General features: G+C 37.6%; 1 protein-coding gene across 22 annotated transcripts in view, besides 2 other annotated features; it reads left to right on the top strand.

The window, feature by feature from the left end:
• RGS7 (regulator of G protein signaling 7) overlaps positions 1–27,417 on the top strand; it is a 582,489-nt gene that overhangs the window by 360,617 nt on the left and 194,455 nt on the right. For 20 of the 22 annotated variants that reach the window (NM_001374811.1, NM_001374814.1, NM_001374813.1 and 17 more), the window contains one exon: positions 13,485–13,535. The exons of the other annotated variants lie outside the window; for them this stretch is intronic. In NM_001374811.1, coding sequence (NP_001361740.1) covers positions 13,485–13,535 — 51 coding nt within the window. The remainder of the gene's footprint in view (positions 1–13,484; positions 13,536–27,417) is intronic. 22 annotated transcript variants of the gene reach the window in all.
• Positions 12,427–12,596: an enhancer, noted in NCBI's record as "experimental_6394 CRE fragment used in MPRA reporter constructs". NCBI's record gives its function as "activates a minimal promoter by MPRAs in K562 erythroleukemia cells, with activity observed for both the introgressed and non-introgressed 1:241147403 variant alleles {active_cell/tissue: K562}" and the evidence as "EXISTENCE:reporter gene assay evidence [ECO:0000049][PMID:34662402]".
• Positions 25,929–26,499: an enhancer, noted in NCBI's record as "NANOG hESC enhancer chr1:241133415-241133985 (GRCh37/hg19 assembly coordinates)". NCBI's record gives its function as "activates a minimal SCP1, AML or CMV promoter by ChIP-STARR-seq in naive H9 embryonic stem cells {active_cell/tissue: H9 hESC(naive)}" and the evidence as "EXISTENCE:reporter gene assay evidence [ECO:0000049][PMID:30033119]".

Genomic DNA, 27,417 nt, shown 5'->3' with positions numbered 1-27,417 from the left:
GGTATATTAATTTCATATGAAGCAGACGTCACCACAAGGAAAAGTGGAAGCAATAAAGGGGGTCATTAGATAATAATGAGGAGCTCATTTTTCCAAGAAGACGTAGCAAACTTAAATGTGTATGTATCTAACAAGAGAGATTCAGAATACATGAGGCAAATGGATAGAACTGAAAGAAGAACTAGACTATTCCATTATTAGAGCTGAGACTTTAACACTCCTTTATCAGTAACTGATAGATCCATAGATCAAGCAGGCAGAAAAATCAGTAAGGATGTAGATGACCTGAACAACATGATCAATCAGCTTGACCTGATTACAGGATATTCCAACTAACAGCAAAAAGCATGGTGTTTTGCTTTTCATGGTCTCAAGTTCCCATGAAACATTCCCTAAGACCATATTTTGGGCCATTAAACACATCATAATAAGTTTTAAAAAACAGACATTATACCAAGTATGTTCTCTGATCATAATGGAATCAAATTAGAAATCAATGAGAAAAAACTAAAAGGAAAATCTCCAAACATTTGGAAATTAAACAACACACTTTAAATAATATCATTGAAGGATCTTCTGGAAAATAAAAAAAAAACAATAAAAATAAAATGTAACATGTCAATTTGTGGAACACTGCTAAAGCAGGGCTGAGAGAAATATTTATAACATAAATGTATACATTAGAAAAGATGAAAATTTCCAAATCAATCATCTAAACTCCAAACTCTAGAACATAGAAGAAGAGCAAAATAAACCCAAAGCAAGCAAGCGTAAGAAAATAATAAAGAGCATAAATCAATGGAATTGAAAACATTCAAATAATTTAAAAACCAATGAAACAAAGAGCTGGTTCTTTATAAAAATTGATAAATTGACAGTTCTGTAACAAGACAAAAAAAAAAAAAGAAAAGACACAAATTGCCATTTTCGGGAATGAAGCAGGGGAAATGACTACAAAACCTGCAGACATCTAAAGGATAAAAGAATACCATAAACTTAAACACATAATTTGACATCTTATACAAAACTGATCAGTGTCTCAAAAACCACAGACTATTACAACTCACCCTGTATGAAATGGATAATTTGAATAGCGCAATCAATGACTATTAAGAAAATTAAATTCATAATTTAGAAATCTCTAAAAACAAAATCTCCAGGTTCATGGTTTCACTGGAAAAGTCTACCAGACTTTAAAAAAATTCAATTATACACAGTCTCTTCCAGAAAACAGAAGAGGAGAGAATATCTCTCAATTCATTTTATGAAGCTATTATTACCCTGATGTCAAAACTAGAAAAATAACGTAGAGAAAAGAACACAACAAACCAGTATCCTTCATTAAGATGTAAAACTCCTTAGCAAAATATAACAAATAGAATTTAGCAATATATAAAAATAATTATACACCATAACCAAGTGGGTTTATTTCAGAGATGCAGGCTGGTTAAATATTCAAAAATTAACCCTGTAATCCAGCAAATTAACTGGATAAAATAGAAAAATCACATGATCATATTAGCCAATATAGAAAAGCTAGTAGACAAAATTCAAAACTTATTCATAATAAAAACTTTCAAAAAACAGGAATGGAAGAGAAATTCCTCAACTTGATAAAGAACATCTACAAAAACTTTAGGCCAGGTGCTGTGGTTCATGCCTTTAATCTCAGCACTTTGGGAGGCTGAGGTGCAAGGATCACTTGGAGACCAGGAGTTTGAGATCATTGGCTGGACAACATAGTGAGACACTATTTCTACAAAAATTTAAAAAATTAGCCAAGCATGGACAATAGAGGGAGACACAGTCTCAAATAATAATAGTAATAATAATAAGTTTACTTTATATGTAGTTGTAAAAGAGTGAATGTTTTCCTCTAAAATTGAGAACAAGGTGAGGATTTATTTAACATAATGTTGAAATTTCTAGTCAGGGCAATAAAGCAAGAAAAGGAAATAAGAGATACACAGATCAGAAAGGAAGAAATTAAAGCTTCCCCTCTTTGCAGATGGTATTATATTTACCTGTTAAATCCCAAAATATCTGCAAAAAAACCTTCTAGAACTAAGAATCGAGTCCAGAAAGATTACAGGATATGCAATAAATATACAAAAGTAAATTACATTTTTATATACTAACAGTGAACATGTGGATGCTGAAATCAAAAACACAATACTGTTTAAAATTGCCCAAAAATTAAATAGGTGTTAATCAAATAAAGTTTGTTCAGGACTTGTATGCTGAAAACTGCAAAATGCTGGTGAAAGAAATAAAAGAAGATGTAAATAAATGGAGAGACATACTTCAAATCCATGAAGAATAACCTTGTATAAAAGCCAGTTCTCCCCAAATTGATACACAAGTTTAATGAAATTCCTTTCAAAACCCCAGCAAGATTTTTTTGTAGATATAGAGATAATTCTAAGATTTATAGGTAAAGCAAATGAAGTAGAACAGGTAAAACAATTTTGAAAGAAAAATAATGTGGGAGGAATTTATTTTATGTTTATATTATATATTCAAGACATTATATAACTGTGGTAAACAGAACTGTGTGGTGTTGGTAGAAGGATAGACATGTAGATCAATAAAACAGAATAGAGAATCCAGAAATAGATCCACACAAATAGACACAATGGATTTTTGACAAACATGGAAAAGCAATTCAACTGAGGAAAGATAGCTTTGTCAAGAAATGGTGCTAGAGCTATTGGACATTCACGGGCAAAAAGGAAGTTCCACCTAAGTCTCACAACTTATACAAACACTAATACAAAATGGAAAATTAAAACAAAAAAAATTTAGGAAAATAGTAGGAGAAATTATTGGATATCTTGGTCTAGGCAAAGAGTTCTTAGATTTAATACTATAATCTATAAAAAGTTGATAAATTGGACCTCATCCAAATTAAAAACTTTTTTTTTTTCTGAAAAAGACCTTGTGAAGAGGGTGGAACAACAAGGTACAGAGTAAAAGAAATTATCTGTAAACCACATATCCAAGAGAGGACTAGTATGTAGAATATAAAAAGAACTGAAAAAACAATAGCAAAAAAAATTAATTAGAAAATGGTCAAAAGACATGAAGAGACGTTTCACAGAAAAGGATGTACCTACACCAAAAAAGCATATGAAAACATGTTCAATACCATTAGCCACCAGGCAGACACAAATGAAAATCAACACATACTATCAGAAAGGTTGAACTAAAAAATAGGAACACTAATGTTAGCAAGGATGGGAAGAAACTGAATCACTCCTACATCGCTGGTAGGAATGTAAAATGGCTCAGGCCCTCTGGAAAATAGTTTGGCTCTTTCTTTCTCTCTCTCTCTCTTTCTTTCTTTTTCTTTCTTTCTTTCTTTCCTCTCTTTCTTTCTCCTTCTTTCCTTCCTTCCTTTCTTTTCTCTCCTTCTTTCCTCTTTCTTTCTTTCCTTCTTTCTTTCCCTCCCTTCCTTCCTCCTTTCCTTTCCTTTCCTCCTTCCTTCCTTCCTTCCTTCCCTCCCTCCCTCCCTCCCTCCTTCCTTCCTTCCTTCTGTTTCTTTCCTTCCTCCTCTCGCTCTCCCTCTTTCTTTCTTTTTAAATTTCATTTTAATTTTTGAGATGGAGTTTCACTCTTTCACCCAGGCTGGAATGCAGTCATGCAATCTCGACTCGCTACAACCTCTGCCTCCTGGGTTCAAGTGATTCTCCTGCCTCAGGTTCCTGAGTAGCTGGGCCTACAGGTGCACGCCACCATGCCCGGCTAATATTTTTTTTTTTTTTTGTATTTTTAGTAGAGACAAGGTTTCAGCACCTTGGCCAGGTTGGTCTTGAACTCCTGACCTCGTGATCATTCAATACCTCATGGTATTGAAATTACATCTTCAATAATAGAAAACATTTTAAATAGAACCCCAAAAATGGCATCATTAATTGGTATTTTCAATATTTTGTCACAGCAGGAAATATTCAGGGTTATTTTTAAAAAGATTCACTCTTTTCAATCTGGGCCTTGGTCTATACATAGCACTATATAGAGCACGTTCAGTGCCAAAATAATTAGGATTGGCACAAAAGCACTTGGCCTTAGCTGTAGTTCTGTTTTTGTTTTTGTTTTTGTTTATTTTGTGAGACGGAGTCTTGCTCTGTCGCCCAGGCTGGAGTGCAGTGGCGTGATCTTGGCTCACTGCAACCTCTGCCTCCCAGGTTCAAGTGATTCTCCTGCCTCAGCTTCCTGAGTAGCTGGGACTACAGGCGCACGCCACCACGCCTGGCTAATTTTTTTCATATTTATAGTAGAGACGAGGTTCAGCATCTTGGCCACACTGGTCTTGAACTCCTGGCCTCATGATCCACCCATCTCAGCCTTCCAAAGTGCTGGGATTACAGGCATGAGCCAACGCGCCCGGCCTGAGCTGTAGTTTTGACTATGCATAAGTGCATTCATTTTGTCAATCTTTAATGAACTGGGAAATTTCCGGAATTGGAATCCTCTTTGATCTACTTGTACCTTCTGCCTCATCCACCTCTTGACCAATGCTGGTACTCTCTGCTAATAAAGAATAAAAAGTATTATCTCTACCTGTCAACAGATACAGCAACTGTGTCTGGACTAGATTGATGAGGTCTGTGCCTATCCAGTCAAGAGCAAGTTTTTAATTTATCGATCAATAAACATTTTCTTTATCTCCTATGTCCTTCATAGAGGCAGTTAGACAGTTAGACATGGCCTGTGTGTAGCTGGAAAAAAATATATGTGTTGAGGGCAAGAATGATCCACTAGGATTTTCTTTATGCCTACCAGCTAGCATATGGAATTGATTAATCGATTAATAAATAATTTATTCTAATGTGTTCCAATATGGTAGCTGACCCAAAATTCATAGTTATATCTGAACATTTTACACACTTATTACTTGTTTTATTTTCTTTGAGTCTAAAGAACCATAGAACTAAAACATAAAAATATAAAATGGTCTTTAAAAAGGGATCCAATATCCCCATCCTAAGGAAACACTGCGGACTTAGTCTTCTCTTGATTTTTCTACAACTTGCTTTATCAAAATAAAGGCTGCACATCAAGGAACCCTATTTTCCTTCCTTCTCTTAACTCCGCATTTCCCACACTTACTGTCACCATCCCACACAAGAGGCAGACGTGATGTTTCTCTGAATGCGACTTGGGAAAAGCTTCTCTGGTTGATAAGGAATCCTCCTGAGCTCCAGTAGAGGGCAGGAAATAATCCTGAGGGTGGTCTCCATTACCTTTTATCTCCTCATTATTGTCATCTTTGCTGCCTTGCTGTTTTTGCTGCCTAGGTTTAAAGCTTCTTGGGCTTTGAAGAGAGACAAAATGCCTGCTTTGCGTCTGAAGAGATATTTTTATGATTTCTGGAACTTACACAACAAAGATTAAAAATCTAGTTAAATCCCCATGATCTTGAGAAAATGTCTGCTCAAGGAACAGCCAAGGAGCTCTACCACAGAACTCTAATTTGTTTTCATTGTACCTTGCCAGAGGGTAGGGAAATATATTTTTACTTTTCCTATCCTCAGAACACAGTAGTAGTAATTACAGTGAATATCGGGCTTCTATCCTGTTGATTTGAAGATTCAAGTTATATCAACAAAACCCAACATTTTCTGTGACTCTGCTCTTAGGGCAAGGGGCAGAGAACTCTAAAGAGCAACAACCTAGAAAGAAAATGTAATCAACCAGATAATTTGCTTTTTGCCATGACATCTGCAAATGCATTTAAATGACTGCTGAACAACATTTTTAAAGTCTCGTAGGCAAATGCTTCAAATGTATCTGAGGTTTACTGAAAGGAAACATATCTGTTTTGATTATTTTGTTTCCATTGACCTTTGAGATTTCATAGGTGTTATTAGCTATGGAATATTGGAAGAAGGGCTTTATATCATAAGTTTGATCCAGTTTCAAACTGTGAGCAGAAGTTAATCTTTTTAATTCTATGAAAACTGAATAATTTTCTCTAGATATACCTGATGTATAAAAATCCAGAAGTAACAATACTCAATTACATGTTATTCATTTTAGAAAGTGAATTATTTACTTAAAAATATGCCCACTCATAAAAACACAAAATCATATACACATCACGAAGTTTCTTTGAGTAGCTGTTTTAGTGCACATAAAGTGTGGTTTCATTCACATACACAAAAACAATGTATTCCTACTCTGCTTTACGGGACTATAATAAGTTCATAGAACAAAACACATTTATATTCATAGCAAGGCAGAATAACATATTCGTTTCATTCAAAATTTGACATTTTGCTTTTGAATTCCACTTTTCCTCTCTTTTCTGCATTTTTTTTTATGATGAAACATAAAAGCTTTACAAACTGGAAGGAAGCTGTAGTTTACACCCATTGTTATGTCTGCAAAGCACTCATTCTTTCTGGAAAATGCCTCCATCGATACCTCTCGCCAGCATGACCATTTTTATGCACAGTGATCCATCTTTTCTTGCCACAGTTGGCTGATACAGGAATGGGCACCTCCCTGCAGCTGAGACCCTTCATCAGGAATTAAGACTTAGGACTAAAAGATTTCAGCCTCAAATGTCTTGCCGTCTTCAGTGGCAGAGATTTTAACCCAGGAGCTGTGAGCCTTCATGACCCACTTTGTGGATGGAAAATAGCAAAGGTTGTTTCCTAGAGAGAAATGAAGATGTCCAGAAAGGAGCAAGGATGACAGTCTCTGCCTCCATGAGTCCTTGAGGCCTAAATACATCCTTTCCCTTTAGTTCTGGGTACCTTTTTGCAAATTCCTTCTTTGATAAGTTTATGTTTTTATACTTCCCTCAAAGATCACTCTTTACAACCAAAAGCGCCCTGATGAAGTAACTTAAATTTTGTTGTTGTTGTTATATTAATCTTAATAGATATTAGCAATTTTTTTAAATTAAAAAAATGTCGATGCCTCTAGCCCAAAACCACCAGGAACACGCCTATAGTCGAACAAGTCAACTTTATTCTTTCTTGAGGGTAGGGAGAATGCACGCCATCGGGAACCATGGGGTGTCTCAGTAATAGGGTTTTAGGAAGAATCTATTACAGGATTTTGGCATTGGTAGTCATGGAGAGGATCTGAGGAAGTGGGCCTTTGCTCTAGATTGGGTGCTGTCAGGAAGTAGGGACAATTCCATTATCTGGTATCTTTTTTTTTTTTGAGACAGTGTCTCACTCTGTCGCCAGGCTGGAGTGCAGTGGCGCCATCTCAGTTTACTGCAACCTCGAGCTCCCTGGTTTGATTCTCCTGCCTCAGCCTCCCGAGTAGCTGGGATTACAGGCACGCAACATCATGCCCAGCTAATTTTTTTTTTTTTTTAGTAGAGACAGGGTGTCACCATGTTGGCCAGGATGGTCTCCATCTCCTGACCTCATGATCCACCTGCCTCGGCCCCCCAACATGCTGGGATTACAAGCGTGAGCCACCGTGGCCGGCCTGATTGGGTATCTTAATACATTTTTTCTACAGGAGGACAGATTAGACAAGACTAAATATGGCATTGATAAAGAAGCAGCAGTCGCTCATGTTATCCAGGATGGAATTTGATATTTTATGGCTCAGCCCATGTTCATGTTTTGTTTGTGTTCAGATCTGATTACAGAGTGGTCTTGTTTTTATCTTGACCTATGAGGGTTCTAGAGTGGCCTTGTCCGGTGTTAATGTTCTTCTAAGAAATTGTTCATATTTACCAAGGAAGCACCAAGACATAGCTGTGAGTGCCCAGCCAGTTCCTGGAAGCCAGTGGCTGCTTTTCTCTTTTTTCAGTACCCGCTTTTGGCCAAAGGCAGACAGAACTAGGACACCGGCCATTAATTGGTGATATCCAGATTTTTGCCATTGCTGAGATTTCTTAGATCAAGGGGTTAGAGAACATAGTCTGTAGCTGGGCTGGAGTTCATCTCTCCTGCTCCTTTGGTTGAAGGTTGCTTTGTTGAACCCTCAGATGTGACAATGGCTGTGCAATCATATTTAAGGCTCTGGACAGGACACAAGTACTCAAATAAACAAAATGTTATTCTTAGATATTAGCAATTACTTATTGGAAAGATTGTGGAGAAATTTAGTTCATTAATTCAGCTTTACAAAAGGGTAATATGCTAGCTTTAAGCAAATCACTTCATTTCTCAAACAGAAAGTCTGCAGTGTTTTAACTTAAACTGAAATTCTGCAGTGTTTTAAATTACAGAAATTCTGCAGTGTTTTAAACTGAGTTTAATTTAAAAATTAAAGAAATTCAATTGAGTTTAATTTAAAGAAATTCTGCCGTGTTTTAAATTAAATTGAGTTAAAATTATAATTGCATGAAGAACTTTTTAAATTATGATAATGAGAGATACACTGTGGTGTCATAACATACTAGATGGAGTCACCATTAGAGCTGACTTTTTCAGCATTTGGAGTCTTTTCTGTATAGAGTAGATGTCCATAAATAGTGACTCATGCCTTCAGTAAACATTTAACGATGATCTGTGTTGAAGCACTTTGAAGAGAATGGTGGAAACGTGATGAGTATGATGTCGTTTCTTCTCTCAAGGGACTGACAGATCAGTTAATTTGCTTCGCTAGACATTCTTTCTTTCTTGTTCCTTAAAGTGCAGATCCTCAGCCAAACTTCTACAGAAACGCAATAGATGTTTATTACATGCTATTTGATGATAATAAACATTTATTGTGCCTACTTCAAGGAACAAAGAATAATGTTGGAAAAATGATTTTTAGTATATAGAAAGTCTTCTATTTAGTGAGAGGTTCTAAGAATAGTTGGCTGAGCCTGGTGGCTCATGCCATGTAATCTCAGTGCTTTGGGAGGCTGAAGCAGGAGGATCACTTAAGGCCAGGATTTCAAGACAAGTCTGGGCAACATAGCGAGACCCCATCCTCCAAAAAATAATAATTAAAAAAAATTGCCGGGCATGGTGGCTCACACCTGTAATCCCAGCTACTTGGGAGGCTGGGACAGGGGGAATTGCTTGAGCCCAGGAAGTTGAGGCTGCGATGAGGTGATTGTTGCACTGTCTTGCAGCCTGAGTGAGACCCTGTCTTCAAAGGAAAAAAAAAAAAAAAGAAGAATAGTTATAACATCAAAAATCATGGATTAAGGATTATTTATGATATTCACTAAATAAAAATATTTGTATTGTCAGCACTGTGTCTATGTGGTTCTGAGGCTTCAGCAAAGGTATTTGGGCAGTACAAAGAGCTTTTCCATTTCCCTGAAAGAGAAACATTGCAAAGGTCAGCGTCTTTGCCTCAGGAATAATTTGCGCACCTTCTATGGTGATTAAGAGCTCAAGTTTTCACTAATGTCTTTAGCTGAAAATTATGAAAATACTTGAGTTTTGTAAAGGATGCAAATCAAATGTGTTCTATTTTGCTTGCTTACAGAGTCCTCATATCTTATATTTACAAATATTTTGCAATTTTTTTCATGAATGCTTAATATTTTTGTGCACCTCTAATTCAGATTTAGTTTGTGGATAGCTGTAGGTGACACTTGTAGCTGAGGATGTGCTCTAATCCTGGGGAGGGGTGCAGACGTGGACCGTAATGGAAGTAATACAGGCTTAGGACAGAGCCTGGTCCAGGCCTTTGCACTCTGCAGGGGGCACAGGTAAGGAAGCTCGTTTGCCGTTCAGATCCGTGGCATGGGTGAAAAAATAATGTTGAAGTTTAAGATCAATTTAACATCATGTTTAATAATAGTGGTGTTTAGGCCGGGCGCGGTGGCTCACGCCTGTAATCCCAGCACTTTGGGAGGCCGAGGCGGGCGGATCACGAGGTCAGGAGATCGAGACCATCCTGGCTAACACGGTGAAACCCTGTCTCTACTAAAAATACAAAAAATTAGCCGGGCGAGGTGGCGGGCGCCTGTAGTCCCAGCTACTCCGGAGGCTGAGGCAGGAGAATGGCGTGAACCCCAGGGGGCGGAGCCTGCAGTGAGCCGAGATTGCGCCACTGCACTCCAGCCTGGGCGACAGCGAGACTCCGTCTCAAAAAAAAAAAAAAAAAAAAAAAAAAAAAATAATAGTGGTGTTTAAATTACATGCCAGTAGAATATTCTTTGCATGAAGGATACTATTCTTTTTAAACTCTGTGAAAATAGAATTTGGGGAGGGGAGTCTTGCTATTTATTCATTCAATCTTTTGTTGAGGGGTGGGCACAACAGGCTTCCTGGAGTAGATAATGTTTGAATTGAACTTTATGGCCTCAGTTGGGATTCACCACAGGAAAAAGAGATGAAGATAGAAGAGCATTAGCAAAATCATGGAAGGAAGAAACAGTATAGCAGGTAGAAAACTATGAGCAGTGTGATGAGGAAGAATTCTGCTTGTTTGTTTTTGCTTGTTTTCATTTTAAATAATATACTGCTAGGATTCGACAGTAATAAAACCTCTACTGCTTCTGCTGAGCAGACGGAGCACAAAGCTCTGCAACTCTAAAAGTGACATATGCCTGTATAAACTTTCCATAGGCTACAGTGAAAGTGTGATTTCAAAAAATTCCACAGGTTACTTTGAGGGCTCCAAAATCAAGGTAAATAGAATGCTACAATTTTCTACATATACATTATATGTGAAAAACTTCAGCAGACCCAGCCATTTATTTATTTATTTATTTATTTATTTATTTATTTATTTATTTAATATAAAGCTGGAAAATTGCTGTAAAGGTGGCATTCCTACTACACTTCTCTGGACTGTAATGCTCCATTTTAAATTTGAGTCATGCTTCTCAAGATGACTCTATAGGAGCACGTTTCTCTTTCAGTCTTCTGGTTCCAATAAGATACTGGATTTTTTTCCTCTTTCTCTCTCTACCTATCTCTTCAAGGAGTTGAGGTCTTACTCTTACAGATGGAGCATAGGTTAACATGGTGAGTCTGGGTAAGAATTTAACAATTTAAAAATCCATAACCTAAAACCATAAATATGCTGGGGCGATCACACAATAAAAAAACTACTACAGCATCTGCTAAGTGGCACTAGCAGTTGGTCAAGTCCAATTAAATTGACTCCTTCAGAGCTGAACTGAGAATACACTTGTGACAGAAATACTCAAAAGTAGGCTAAGAAAGAAAGTTTCCTATTCTCTGAATTAAACATACTTTTAAATTAGGCTTCTTTGTATTTCTTTCTGCCCAGAAAAAAAAAGAAAAGGAAAGAAAGCGTAACAGAACAGAATATTTTTAAAAACTTAGTCTCTAAGAGCATTTTTCAAGTCATTTTTCACAATAAAAAATATGTATAGTCCTGGAATGAATGTTTGGCTGTCTTCAAAAGAATGGAAAATTTCCAGTGGCTGCTCACATATGTTCCACAAATAGATGCTCAACTCTGAAAAATGAGCAGGGTGCTTGGGGCTTGTGCGGAAGATTTGTGTATCTGGGAATCGACATTGGTCAAGGATCACTACATGTATATGTGAAAAGCTGAGTTCTCCTTTTCTTTTTCAATGGGAAGATCGTGCTTCCAGATAACCTAAGACTATAAGGTTGAACACAACACCGGGACACGGTCAACTGCCTTCTGGAGAATGATCTCCTTTCCATTTGACCCTTAGAGCTGTTTTAGTAAAACTTCCTTTAGGATCTGGATGAGTCTGTCTTCCCAAATGATTTAAATCCATGGCAGCTGTAAAAGGAACACAAGTTCAAGTCAATACTTGGAGTTATTTTTTTAAATGCATGCATGCTGAAATTGACATTGAGTATGAATGTTCTCATAACTTTTGGGACTTTATTGTCAAGTTTAGTAATCAAATTTATTCTTAAATTGATTTTGAACTGGTTTAATTCAAGCAGCTAGAATTATTTTGCCAATGTTAATGTAATTAATTTGCCAAATCTCCGAGGTGGGTAGACAGCAACTCTAGCCAGCCTCCAGGAGAGGCTGAAATGGAATCTTGGTTCACACTGAAGTTTGATTCAATTCACGCAGGCATAACACAGTTTACTATGTATGCAAACAATTCACATACATATTTTTCCTATTTTGTGTAGAAAAGAGTTATGCAGAAAACCAATTTTAAATACAAATGAATGTCTCAAGCAAATCAGTTGCTAAATCTCCCATTTCTGCTCTTATTTTCATCATTCTATTCATCTATGCTTCCGGGCTAGAAACCTTGACTTCTTTTTTAATCTCTCCTACTTATAACCTTTATACCTAATTAGTCGTAAAGTCCTGAAAGAAGTCTGTAATTTTTTAAGAAATTCCTTTGTACACTGAACTAAGACCTTTTCCCTTCATCCTTGGATTGCAACTAGTAGACATGTCGACTGCCTTGCCTTCTTTTTGACTACAAGGCATTTCATATATATTGCCAGTCATACTCCTCAAACTTACTTTGATAATGTCATTCTTCTGCTCAAAAATATTGCATGTCTCTTTCTCTGCTTTCCTTATGGGAAAAAGAAAATTTAATTCTTTAGCCTAGAATTCAAGACCTGCTGAATATACTGTGCACTCCATTATTACTTTCAATTTTCTATTATTCCCAGCACTTACATATAGACAGTGTGCAGTAAATTATTTCTGTTGACTGCTTTTCCACCTTTTAGTTTTTACGTAGGCCCCTTCAGCAACTAAATTTCTCTCTTATTCATAGATAAAAATACATCCTTCAAAATCTAGCTCAAACATTGTTTTCTGCAGACCTCTCTTGTCTCTTCTGTGTGAAGTAGAAACATATTTGCTCATACTTTGTATTCATCACACATTGTTAAGCACTTACTATGCTCCAAATAATCAAAGATGAATATGACACCCTGCTTCAAGGTTCTTACTTTGGGGCATTCATCAAATAAACAGCTGGGGCAATGGTGTGTGATCAACACGACAATAAAAGACTGCATGGGTTCCAATGAGGTTTCATGGACAGTACTGTGAACTCAGTGGACGAGGGGAAGGGCCAAGGCAAGTTCTGTCATATCAGTGAATCTTGAGTGTCTTAAAAATAGTGGGAAGACATTTCGGTCAGGGAGAGTACTGCTGTGGAGACACAGAGACTTGAAATACGTAAGAGGGTTCGAAAACCAAAAACAAATTTGGTTTGACTTGAGAGGGGATACAAGGATGAGGTGGGTACAACCAAAAATGAGACAGGAACTACCTTATAAAATACTGGTTATGCTGTGCTAAGACTTGTACCTGAAATATAGGAGATGCTTAATAAACACTTATTTAGTAAACAAATCACTTTCTACTAGTACAGTAAATTTTATTTCCATTTACATATTTCATATTTAATAATTTACTAGTTTACACCTTGGTTTATTGATGGACAGCTAAGTATCCATACTTTGTGTTTTCAGCATTCCATCTGGGGTAGATCCTTAATCTGTCATTGTAACAATTAGAAAAGTTCCTTCTAATATGAGCACCAAAGGTGGAGAATTCTTAAAGTTAATATGTATAAACAAAATGTTCACATCTGTTTGTGTTTTTCTTTTTTCTTTTTCTAGGTTCAGACATTGTTCAATGGTTGATAAAGAACTTAACTATAGAAGATCCAGGTAAATAAATCATTTTCCCATTGCAAGAACTTTTTTCTTAGTGGTTTTAAGAAATATGTTTCATCAGGGATATTTTAATATGGCACGCAAGCAAACCTCCTGAAAAATTATAATTCAGTTTGAACTGTGCTTTTAACATTTATATAAATTTTATGGTAGTCAAAACATATTTCACTGAAAGTTAGCATATTTGTACAATTTTTCACATCCTTAATTCTGCCATATTATTTGATTCAGGTCATCGGTGATCGTTAGACTGGATCAGCTGTATACATGTCCATAAAATAATTGTACATATAATTTATGGCAAGTGATTATGAATTAATGAACTTTCCTTCTATAAGACACATACATCTCATTAACTTATAATTTTGCCTTAACTACATCTTTAAATACAGTTTGAAATCAGTATTTTATTTGTAATTCTGATTTTTTTTCTCGTGCCTACATGGTGTGTGTGTGTGAGAGAGAGAGAAACGCTCTATTTAAGTCATAAACCTGTTCACCATGTTGGACATTGTGTCTATTCTGTAGCAGAAAACTAATTTCCAAAGTAAGGGAACAATTTTTATGAGTTCACACTTTGCATTGCCTGGAACAAGATCCTACATATGCAAAGCATTTAATGACTTTTTTTTTTTTTTTTTTTTTTTTTTGAGGCAGAGTTTCACTCTTGTTGCCCAGGCTGGAGTGCAGTGGTGCAATCTCGGCTCACTGCAACCTCTGCCTCCTAGGTTCAAGCAATTCTTCTGCCTCAGCCTCCCGAGTAGCTGGGATTATGGGCGCGTGCCACCACATCAGGCTAATTTTTTTGTATTTTTAGTAGAGTCGGGGTTTCACCATGTTGGCCAGGCTGGTCTCGAACTTCTGACCTCAGGTGATCCACCCACTTGGCCTCCCAAAGTGCTGGGAATACAGATGTGAGCCACCATGCCCAGCTACATTTAGTGGCTTTTTTAAAATATGTAAAACCTTTCACACGTGGCAAACAATTCACATCACTGAAAGAAAATAAGATGCATATTGTTCAGAGAAGATTCTGAGAAAACAGAAAACAATAGTTATGAAAAGCTGGCATTACAGTGACTGCAGAAAAGGTCAGTGATATGCCAACCTATGTAACACACCCTTCTATCGATAGAGAGGAACTCGGCATAGCTGTGGTTCCTGCCTCTGGTAATTATTGCCTTAAAATGGTTTAGAATTAACAGTATACGAAGATGCAAGGTTTTAATTTTTTCTCATTTTAAGCTAGCTTTATAAAGCAATACCATCAAAAGATGCAGCTCAAATTCTGTCCATAAAGGCCTGTGTACACCCCCAGCTCATTTGCTACATGAGCTTTTAAAATACTCATTGTTGAAGATTAAGTGGTATTAAAACAATTAGGTAAAGACAAAGCAGCTATTGCCAGCATCATATTATCACCAGGTGAAAGGGGAGATAATTAATAGGAAGGGAAGCTACAGTCTTACCAAGTTCACATTTCAGCCTCACTTCAGTGGCATGCCTGTTTTTTTAAAACTATAGGACCAGACAAATAATCCCAGTGCTAAAAAATAGATTGACACAGTCATGGCTAATCAGGAAACTACTGATTGGCAAAGACTATTAAGGATCAGAGGTGAAGTAGATTTAAAAGAGTATTATTTCTGTAAGGTAAAGACTGGGTCAGGCGCGGTGACTCATGCCTATAATCCCAGCACTTTGGGAGGCTGAGGTGGGTGGATCACGAGCTCAGGAGTTCGAGACCAGCCTGGCCAATACGGTGAAAAACCCTGCCTCTACTAAAAATACAAAAATTAGCTGGGTGTGGTGGCACACACATGTAGTCCCAGTTACTTGGGAGGCTGAGACAGAAGAATCACTTGAACCCAGGAGGCGGAGGTTGCAGTGAGCCAAAATCACACCACTGCACTCCAGCCTGGGTGACAGAGCGTGACTCTGTCTCGAAACAAACAAACAAACAAACAAAAAAAACCTGAAGGTGTAGTTCAGTAAAAATCTAAGAAACAGGAAAAATCTTCACAGATATCATAAGCTAGTAAGAAACAATCATTGTTTATAATTTACAGGTAGGATCTTGTTTTAGCTATAATGTGCATGGAAAACTGATTTTATTTGCTTGCTGAACACTTTGAGGAAGTTTTTAAGATTCATTAGAAGCTGTTATGACAAGATGAAGTCAAATGTATCCAGGAAGGAACATACATGTTCTGTAGTCATATTTATGACAGGCTGAAAAATTAGTTTCTGATTTGTTGGTTTGTTTTTTTGAATGAAGTAATTCACCCTAGACAAAATCCAAGGCTCTGTACTGGTTTCAAGAAGAGTTAAGAAACATTAATGATTGTTCTGAATATGTAACAGATTGTGCACATGGAAAATGAATCAATCTGGTGGCTATTCTGATCCCAATTTGATGTGGTTAATAATGTAGCTGATATTATGAAAGTTACTTTGGTGGCTGCCTATATGAAACCAATCATGCCTTTTGAAACTGGTCATGAAGGGAGACTAAGTGGTTATAATGCCAAGTCTAGTTTTAACTCTATCAAAAACTCCCTGAAGATGTTTTAAAATAAGAAAGAAACCCATGCCTAGTTTCTGTCTTGTGTGCTCTCTGGTAGCCAAGTGGTCGTTTGAAGATCTCTAGGGATGGTTTGATGTTCTAGAAGTCAATAATTTGCTGAAAGAGGGTTTTGTGGCAAGATGGAAGAAGAGACTAATTCTGGGTATGGGAGCAGGTTCTGATGGCCCATTTGAAGACAGGAGGAGAAGGCTGAATGATCTTCAGGACCATACTTAAGACCAATGAGTCTATATTATTTGCAGACTTAGTGTTCAGTATTTTATCAATGAGCACTTAATAACTCATTTCTATTACAGCAATCCAGGACACATTTGGCTGAATATTTTATCAGAGATTTTGGTACCATTAGACATGTAGTCATATTTTGTTATTATTTTAGAATACAGATGGATTTGAACTTTTTGTTAAAATTTTGGATTTTTTTTAGTTTACATATATGTATAATACACATATATGGAATTAGTCTAAAATGTTTTTCTTCTGCTTTGTGAGTACACTTTTATAAAATATATCTTTCTAGGAAAATTCCATTTCTTCTTTCACACTTTCATTCATCTAACAAATATTTATTGAGTTCTTACCATGGGCCAGGCACTGGGAATACAGAATGAATATTCTCTCTTTGAACAAATTGATTGTCCTTTGCTTCCAGAATTTCACACTCATACTCTTCCATCCTTTTCACTGGCCATTTGGTTTGGTCTCAGTCTTCTGTGGTGGCTTTTCACTCTCAGCTAATCCATAAATGTTGGAAGGTTCAGGTTTCTGTCCTAGGTTCCTCTCCTTTCTGCATCTACACGCTGTTGCTAAGTGACATATGTTGAGAATGCTCCAATTCATAACTTTCATGCTGACCTCTCCACAGTGCTCCACACTCACTTCTCCAGTGCCTAAGGCCTCTCCCCGAAACGTCAAACTCAACACAACCAAAATGGAACCCCGATTTTTCCACTTCTCAAACCTACTCCTTATTGTAATCCCAAGCTCAGTTACAGAGTTGTCTTCTAACCAAGAATATACTCTATCTTTTCATGTCTTCAATTTTGATATGTGGTCTTTCAGGAGTGCTTTAAAGTTTTTAAAATATAGACTTTGCACTTTTCTTACTAAGCTTATTTCGGTTATTTTATTATGTGTTATTATTATATGTGGGTCTTTTCTTCCTATATATACTTTTTATTGTTTACATATATGAAAATGATTGATTTATATATGCTAATTTAATGTGTCATCTCTTTGCTACACTATCTTTTTTTAAAAGAAATCTTAACTAACTTATTGGAAAACTACAATACTTTTCCCAGCAGTTTATTAGGATTATATGTAGTTGTTCAAAGCCTTTAATTATTTGGCAGAATGTTTTGTTGCCTGTGCATATGCTGTTTTTTAAAACTGATTTTTTATCCTGCCTAGATACCTGTAATGCCTTTTCTTTCCTTGAAATTCAAAATATAAATGGGCCATTGCCATTTCGTTGCTTGTTCTGTGATGTATTTACAAATTTGGTGACTGATTTAAGTCTGTTGATTCAGGTTTTTCCTAGTTGAAGAAAATTTTTTTCTGTTTTGTTATTTAAGCTCATTTTCTACATTTATAAAATGCATATAATAATAACATCTACTACTTAGTGCTTTCCTGAGGGTTTAATAAGTATTACATACAGTGTAAAGCAGTTATTACCACATCTCTTACATAATAGTTCAGAAAATGTTGATTGGCAATTGTAGGTATTTTTGTATTTTTTATAATAATTGTAACTAACTATATGCCTGCTTATTCGTTCTCATTTCCTGTTTTGAAACAACATTTACTGATATGCTTCACTCTTTTCTACATCTCGATTATTATTTTCTCTGTTTTAAAATTCATTTTTTAGCTTTCTCTCTCCCTTCTCTCTTCCAGATTAAGTTTTTAAGTTTCTACATCATAACATTAATTCTAATTCTCTTCACTGCCGATTCAGCCCTTTACAGATGCTAATAGAGAATATATCTATTATCGCATGTTTAACTTTTCATCATTTTCTTATTTTTTTCTAGTTCTCTATTTCTACCTTCCTTTAGAAAGTTCTCTTCTAATCATAGACTCTAAGCATAAAATTCTCTTGTAAGTTATGTTTCATTGATTGCTTTATTACATCATGCCATTTAAGTTGAGTATTTTAGGTATATATAGATACTATTATAATCTTTATGCCATTGCATGTCTTAGAAATATTTGTGAATTTGTTTTGTGAATTTTTCTCATTTACTTTGTCTCTGGCATGAAGGACTCTACATGGAACTGATCTTCAGTTATTGACAGGGTGGATGGATTCTCCTTAGATTACTTAATGTATGTATATGTCAGTGGGATCGTCTCCACTTTGCAGCTGGAGTTGGCATTCTGGTTAATGTAAATTTGCATTAATAAGTTAGCTTTTTGACAGACTAAGTATGGTGGGGAGCGAGCTGGACCTGGGAGTAATCCTTGCCTCAGGATGTCACCATGATATCATGTTGTCACTGAGTGTGATGGACTTACTTCGTTGGAACACATTTCTGTCCTATATTCAACATTGTCCATTGCCAAGCTGCCTCCAAGACATGGCCATGGCTGATTTCTTCTGTGGTGTTTGCCCTCCACTGCGGGGAGAGAAGCTGTCCATATTTGCAGTGGTTTGATTAGTGCAGCCCCACTGCAGCTGTTTTTGGTACTGTTGATGTACTACAGTGAATGGGATTCAAAGTGTTGTGCCGCCTTCTCACATATATTCTGCTGTTTCCACTCCGGCATTGAGGGTTTTATGAGTAATCTCCTAGAGTCTTCTCTACTTAGTACTGTGGTGCTGTCTCAGGAGAATGTTGCAATCTGGTCTTATATATGGAATATTGGTTAGACTTTCAGACCACGTGCTGCCCTAATTTATAGTGCCAATGCAGATTTTTATTTGTGTCAATTATTTGTTTGTGGCATTGATAGTTAAACTTCATGTTGCCATCATGTCAAAAGTTTATATTTTGATTTGTACCTTTCAATCATATCAGTAAGAATCTAAAAGATATGTATTTACGTGTGTGTGTTTGTGTTATATAAATACACACACACACATATGTGTGTATATATATATAATTCACATGCAAATGCAAAACACAGAATAAATTGCATTAGTCTTACAATTGGACTGTGGCGGAAAGATTAAATAAAATGGCTACTTTGATTTCATAGGGAGGAAAATTAATGTGCAGCAATCATTGGATAAGGGCAGGGGGATTGGAAGGAAGAATTTAGTCCTTGGTGAACATACGTCTACATTGTTGAAATTTAGTACTCATCAAGGTTCTCCAGAGAAACAGGACAAAGCAATGTGTGTGTGTGTGTGTGTGTGTGTGTGTGTGTGTGTGTGTGTGTGTGTACAGATGGATAGATAGATGATAGATGATGGATAGATATAAATAGATAAATGATAGATGATAGATAGATAAATGATAGAGATAAATGATAGATGATAGATAAATGATAGATGATAGATAAATGATAGATGATAGAAGATATAGATATATAGATAGATAGATGATAGATGGATGATAGAAAGATAATAGATGGATGATAGATGATAAAGAGATAGACAGATAGATGATGGATGGTAGATAGATAGATGATAGATAAATGATAGGTAGATGATAGAAAATATAGATAGATGATAGATAGATGGATAATAGATGATAGATCGATGATAGATAGATAGATAGATAGATAGATAGATAGATAGATAGATAGAGATTTTGAGGAATTTGCTCACACAATTTTGAGAACTGGTACTTCTGAAATTCATAGAGCAGGACAGCAGGCTGGAGACCTAGGCATGAATTCATGTTTAAGGAGGTCTGGTGGCAGAATTCCCTCTTCCTTGGAGAAAATCTGTTTCTTTTCTCTTAAGGCCTTCAGCTGATGGGATGAAGCCCACCCACATTACGAAGAGTAATCTGCTTTACTCAAAGTCTACTAATTCAAATATTAATCTCATCCAAAAATACCTTCACAACAACATCTAGACTGGTGTTTGGCCAAATATCAGGGTACAGTGTCCTAGCCAGGTTGACGTATAAAGTTATTCATCACAGCACCCATTAAGAAGCATAGCATCCACCACTAATGTCTTCTGTTGACAGTCCACCCCATTGCTTCCATGTTGTTACATGTTCCCATTGGCAGAGCCCCTTCCTAGCTATTGACACTCTTTGCTTTAGCCAGGCTCACTCTGGGGGCACAGCAACTAATCAGACCTCAAAGTAGGAAACTGTGCTGTGCTTCTGAAAGCCCTGTGCTATTTTGCTATTTTACTCTCAGTTACATGAAAGTAACTCCATTGCTCCCTTAGATTTTTGGCATATCTGGCACTTGGTAAGCTGTCAGCTAAATATTTTTCATTCTCTTGCCCTTCAGCCTCTAGCACTGGCTTCTTACAATGGTATTCTCAGGGTTACAAGCACAACGTGAGTTTCTGTTTGTGTCACATTTGCTATTGCCTCATCCACTAAGACAAATCCCCTGGACAAGTCCAAAGCCACTGTAAGGAAGGACTATACAATGCACAGACGCAGGACTGTGTGAGCAAATTGGGGCCATTACTGGCAACGTTCTTCCACGTTCGTGTTTCCTCTGCCTTTTAAACCTGCCCTTCTGTGATAAGTCCTACTATCCTTCGGGTTGAGTTTGCAAAATTTATCTTCCAGAACAGATTTATTGTTTTCTTAGTAAACATGCTTTATGACTAATATCATGTCATATTAATTATGGATAATATTTTGAGCAAATTTATCAAAATAAAAAGCTTCAAGAAAGTCTGGATCCTTCACAAAATTATTGACAGATATCAGTAATTCCTTGACATGACCTTGCTCATTTGTGCCCCTTGCTGCCTCTCACTGTAAGAGTCATCCTGACTAAGCTCATCTAGTGATGCTGACCAGGGAGAATAGTACTTTAAGACCCTCAATCTAATGAGTAGGCTAAGATTTGAAATGAGTCTTGCTGTCACTCCTGGGTATCAAGGAACGTTATGCATTTCTGTGTTTTTTTGTTTGTTTGTTTGTTTGTTTGTTTAGACGAAGTCTTGCTCTGTTGCCCAGGCTGGAGTGAAGTGGCATGATCTTGGCTTGCTGCAACCTCTGCCTCCCAGGTTCAAGCTATTCTCCTGCCTCAGCCTCCTGAGTAGCTGAGACTACAGGCGCACACCAGCACGCCCAGCTAATTTTTATATTTTTAGTAGAGATGGGGTTTCACCATGTTGGCCAGGATGGTCTCGATCTCTTGACTTCATGATCCGCCTGCCTCGGCCTCCCAAAATGCTGGGATTACAGGTGTGAGCCACCGCACCCGGCCGCATTTCTGTGTTCTTTGAGTGGCAGCTATTTGCTCCATCTTTTTTCCTTCTCTCCATCATCCCATGCTTCTTGAGTTTTCAGCATTCCTTGAGAGGAATCCTGGCATTGAAGAGGGTCATGAGCTTTGCAGACATGCTTGAGCTTCAATCCTGTTTCAAGCACTTACTGGTTACAGGCATTGGGCAAATTAATTTCTCTGGTTTTTTTTTTTTCCCTTCCTCTGAAAAGTGCTTTTAATACCATGTTTTGTGATACTTAAAAGAATCAACATGCAAGTGGGCCAGAATCTTAATTGTATTTTTATGTAGGCCAAATTTTTAAAACTCTGAATATGTGCAAGCACATTTAACTGAATTGAATTTTTTAGAAATGCATACAACTTTTATACTAGTCTTCAAATACAGCCTATTCCATGAGCCTTTCTTCCATAATTCAGCCCCCATTGGCTTTTCTTTGCCATGAGCTGAAAGAATATTTCCATTTGATACTACTTTATCTGTTGCTTAGTTTAATTATCTTATATTTTTTATTTTATGTATGTTGGTCTCATCACTTCAGTTGAATCTAAGCAACATAATGGCAGAGGACACATACCCTCTCCAGCCATCAAATGAAGTGCCACGGTCAATCAATTCTCAATAATCACTTGTTTTTTTGACTGATGGGAATTCACTGAAGTGGCATCGGATTTATGGTAACTGATGATTCAGTTTGTGCTCTCTTAAATGGATGTGAGAACGTGAACAGAAAGAAATTTTAAATGAATTGTTTTTTATCTAAACAAAACCCAGTGTAAACAAAATGGCTTAAAATGCAGATAGAAGAATAAGATTAAGGATAAATATAATTTATCTAGGATAAAAACTTAATGACAAATACCTGCAAAGTTTCTTCCTCTAGAAGCAATATCTGTTGTAAAAATACCAGTGAAAATCAAGATTCAGGCAAATCAACCAGATGTTTTGCTTACACACCATCAAACAACTGGATCAAGTAACTTAATTATCACCGAATGAATTAAATCAATCCATTGTGCACACCATTATAGAGTCTGTCATCTGCCTCCCAAGCCTGCCACAAGTCTTCTGAAGAAGAAAGTGCTCTAAATCTTGTTAATTAATTTAATAAAACTCCATTACAAATGGCCTTTGTATTCCACGAATTTAGTTAAACTGCCAATGAAATTACAGCCCTAGGAACATGAGGGTGCATCAGAACTGAGAAAGTAAAGAATGTCTCTGGCCGGGCGCAGTGGCTCACGCCTGTAATCCCAGCACTTTGGGAGGCCGAGGCGGATGGATCACAAGGTCAGGAGATCGAGACCACGGTGAAACCCCGTCTCTACTGAAAATAGAAAAAAAAATTAGCCGGGCGCGGTGGTGGGCCCCTGTAGTCCCAGCTACTCAGGAGGCTGAGGCAGGAGAATGGCGTGAACCCAGAAGGCGGAGCTTGCAGTGAGCTGAGATGGCACCACTGCACTCCAGCCTGGGCAACAGAGCGAGACTCCATCTCCAAAAAAAAGAATGTCTCTGTTATCTTTGATAATGTTTTGGACTTATAAAGTGTTTTATGCTTTTCCAAATCATTTAATTAGATTTTTTTTTTTCTTTGAGAGTCAGTCTTGCTCTGTCACCCAGGCTAGAGTGCAGTGGCGTGATCTCGGCTCACTGTAACCTCAGCCTCCCGGGTTCAAGTGATTCTCCTGCCTCAGCCTCCTGAGTAGCTGGGATTAGCCACCACGCCCCGCTAATTTTTGTATTTTTAGTAGAGACAGGGTTTCACCATGTTGGCCAAGTTGGTCTCAAACTCCTGACCTCAGGTGATCTGCCCTCCTCAGCCTCCCAAAGCGCTGGAATACAGGCGTGAGCCATGGCCCCCAGCCTTAATTAAATTATTTTACTTGATTATCATATCAATATCATGAAGTAGCCAGGCAGATATCTCATCAATTTACAACCAGAAAATTAACAGGAGAGAAACTTGTGAATATCTAAAGTCACACAAAAACCTTGAAATAAAAGCACAGTAGGTACAACCTGTACCCTGTGTGCCTGCTCCTTTTTTTTTTTTTAATTGGAGTCTTTCTCCTGTTGTCCAGGCTGGAGTGCAGTGGCACAATCACGGCCCGCTGCACCCTTGACCTCCCAGGCCCAGGTGATCCTCCCGCTTAAGCTTCCTGAATAGCTGGGACCACAGGCATGTATCACCACACTCAGCTGATATTTATTCATTTAGTTAGTTGATTTTAATTTTTTTTTTTTTTTTTTTTTTGAGAGGCGGGGTTGTTGCCCAGGCTGGCCTCAAACTCTGGTCTCAAGGGATCTCCCTGCCTTGGCCTCTCAAGGTGCTGGGATTACAGGTATAAGCCACTGCACCAGACTCCTGCACCTTTTTGGGTTTTTTTTTTTGTTTTTTTTTTTTTTATTATACTTTAAGTTTTAGGGTACATGTGCACATTGTGCAGGTTAGTTACATATGTATACATGTGCCATGCTGGTGCGCTGCACCCACTAATGCGTCATCTAGCATTAGGTATATCTCCCAATGCTATCCCTCCCCCCTCCCCCCACCCCACCACAGTCCCCAGAGTGTGATATTCCCCTTCCTGTGTCCATGTGATCTCATTGTTCAATTCCCACCTATGAGTGAGAATATGCGGTGTTTGGTTTTTTGTTCTTGCGATAGTTTACTGAGAATGATGATTTCCAATTTCATCCATGTCCCTACAAAGGACATGAACTCATCATTTTTTATGGCTGCATAGTATTCCATGGTGTATATGTGCCACATTTTCTTAATCCAGTCTATCATTGTTGGACATTTGGCTTGGTTCCAAGTCTTTGCTATTGTGAATAATGCCGCAATAAACATACGTGTCCTGCACCTTTTTGAACAACTATTTCAGACCTGGATTCTGCTTTTGCATAAATGGCGGGCAACCATAAGAGAGGCATGGACCCAACTGACCCAAAGGTACATTACATAATGTCTTTTGGAATAAAGTAATGTATTTCCTTGGATTTGATGTTATATTTACCTGTTGCATTCTGGATACTCCATTTTGTTAGAGCAATTTCCTATGTATTTCAACTCGTATATTACAGGTCAATAAAAACAGATCTTTTCTGTATGCTCTTCAAATTGTTTCAAACAACAATCTTGCTTCAGTAGAGGGAAGCGGTAGAAGCATTTAAAATATCCCTTGCAAATAACCATTAAGACCCTTACAAACCTATAAACCTACAAAATATATATTTTATTGTCCACTGAGCAAGCTGTCATGTCCATAGGAGATCAATAAAAATGACCGCTTTATTATCGTTCCAGTGCTAGTAGACCACTATATAAAAACATTCTAGGTTTCTGAGATATATTTAACACTCTGATGATAATATGCAAGAAGTCATAGTTTGGAGCCATTAAGTATAAATCTAACAAGATTGATTGATTTGACCTAGTTTCAAGATAATAGATATTACCCAAACATTCATCTTGCAAACGTGCATTTTATATTATAAATAATGCTTAAGGAACAAACAAAGTCCTCATATCTTTGGGTACCTGCTCTCATCCCACACCCTGGCTACTGCAGCTGGAGCTTCCTAGTTGTGTACACAGGGAATCTTATATGTAGTTCTACTTATTTCATGTGAGATGAGCAAGAACTATAGTTTTCTTTGTGTATTCATTTCAGCGTATTAGGAGCTTTTCTTTAGAAGGGAGGAATTTATTTTTGCCTATATTCTGTTGGTACCCTATCTATGTTCATTCAGGGTGCTATAACAGAATGCAATAGACTGAGTGGCTCAAACAACAGAAAGATTTATTTCTCACAGTTTGGGAAACTGGGAAGTCCAAGGTCAAGGTGCTGGTGGCCTTTGTGTCTGCTGAGGGTCTGCGTTCTGGTTCATGGATGGCTGTCTTCTCGCTGTGGCCTCACATGGTAGAAGGGGAGAGCGAGCTCTCTGGAGCCTCTTTTATAAAAGCACTAATTCCATTCATAAGGGCTGTGCCCTCATTACCTAATCACCTCCCGTATGAATTTGGGGGTGATACAGACATTCAGTCTACAGCAGAGCCACCAAAATTATGGTATCTTGTACATTTATTTTTATTTTATTTATTTATTTTATTTTGTTTTGAGACGGAATCTCCCTGTATCATGCAGGCTGGAGTGCAGCGGTGCAATATCAGCTCACTGCAACCTCTGCCCCCCGGGTTCAAGGAATTCTCCTGTCTCAGCTCCCTGTGTAGCTGGGATTACAAGGGCACACCACCACGCTAATTTTTGTATTTTAGTAGAGATGGGGTTTCACCATGTTGGCCAGGCTGGTCTTGAACTCCTGATCTCGAGTAATCCACCTGCCATGGCCTCCCAAAGTGCTGGGATTACAGGTGTAAGCCACTCTGCCTGGCATATTTTACACATTTAACAACACCAAGAATCTCTCTTTTGGTGGCCTCTTGCCTCTTGGGAATGCTCTAGTGTACAGAAAGTGAGAAGTCTGCACATGTTGCTCTGTGATGTCTGCCATTCAAAGTGATCAGTGCCATCCAGTGCAGTCCCGTCACATCCAACCTGTTGGGACCAACTGTCTTATTTAACCTAGAAGCTAGCCACACTCTTTTCTTTTACTCCCCACCTTATTTGTTTTTGGTGTTGCGTTTGCATTTAAATACTGCATTCTGTAATGCAACGAGTGACTGTTGTTTCCATTGACTTGTATAATTATCCAATTGCTCTGCACAACAAAGTCCCCAAACCTAGAATGTACTGAAAGGTCTTCATGAAGGCCATACGTTGAAGTTTTCATTGCCAAAGTAGGGGGTATTTCCCCCAGGATGTCTGCCATTATTTCAGACCATCTTTCCCGTTGATAAAGGCTTTTTCAGGTTTGAGTTTCTGGCTGCCTTCACTTCCCACCTCTATCACTATATTGCAGTTCCAGCAAAAAAGAACTATCACACATGAGCATTAATCAATTGGGTCTCCCCAGGTACCATGCTGGATGTTGTCCTTTCATTTAGTTCTTGTAAGTAGGAAGGGGGCAAGAAAGCTCACATTTACTGAGCATCAACTATGTGCTGAACATCATGTTGAGAACTTGATATATATTATTCTGAACTCCAAGAGAAAAGAAAGAAAATTTGAAGAAATATTTAAAAATGTAAGTCTCAGATCATGAAGCGAATAGGAGAGATAACCAGTATTCAAACCCAGATACATTTGATTTAAAAGCATGAACACTGCTCCAGGCGAGGGATGTCACCTTCACTTCACAGATGAAGCCCCTGAGACTCCCAGCAGAACCGAGGAGCAGAGCTGGGATTCATACCTGGTGTGTCGGCATCATGCCAACACAGTACGTTTGTTAGAGACCAGCAGGTGATCTGTCTGTCCTAATTCCATTTTTGGTTTTTGCTGGACAGCACATGCATCTATAAATGCCAGTCCCAGAGTTTTGTGACCTCTCTCATTTTTATCTGATTGGTTTTTTAAATATATATTGTTTATTAGAGTTGTCAGCTATTAAGGAAAATACAAAAGGCAGCTGGAAATCTAATTAGAATTTCTGTCTTTTATCTTGTAGAACTTGAACAAACATAATGAGGCCAGGGTTCAATGGACATTTGGAGATGTGTTTAATTACACACAGGAACATCTCCTATTACAGCAGAGCTTGATATTTCTACACTGTCCACTAGAAAAAACAAAAATGAACATGGCTACACAGACCAAATGGACGATGCACAATTGTCCTGTGGCATTGTCTGATTCTTCCAGTAGCTGGCTGGCCTCTTTGCTTTCTTCTTCTTTTTAGAGCCTCACTTTCCTTTCTGCATATATGTGTTCCTTTTATAAGCCGACTTGAATTTCCTTTGGCAAAGAAATAAGACATAAGCAACTTTCCTTAAAAAGGAA

This window comes from Homo sapiens, chromosome 1 (assembly GCF_000001405.40).
Source record: "Homo sapiens chromosome 1, GRCh38.p14 Primary Assembly".
In the NCBI taxonomy this organism is placed as follows: domain Eukaryota; kingdom Metazoa; phylum Chordata; class Mammalia; order Primates; family Hominidae; genus Homo; species Homo sapiens.
Note: the sequence above shows the minus strand (reverse complement) of the source record. Positions and strands in the feature narration are given on the sequence as shown.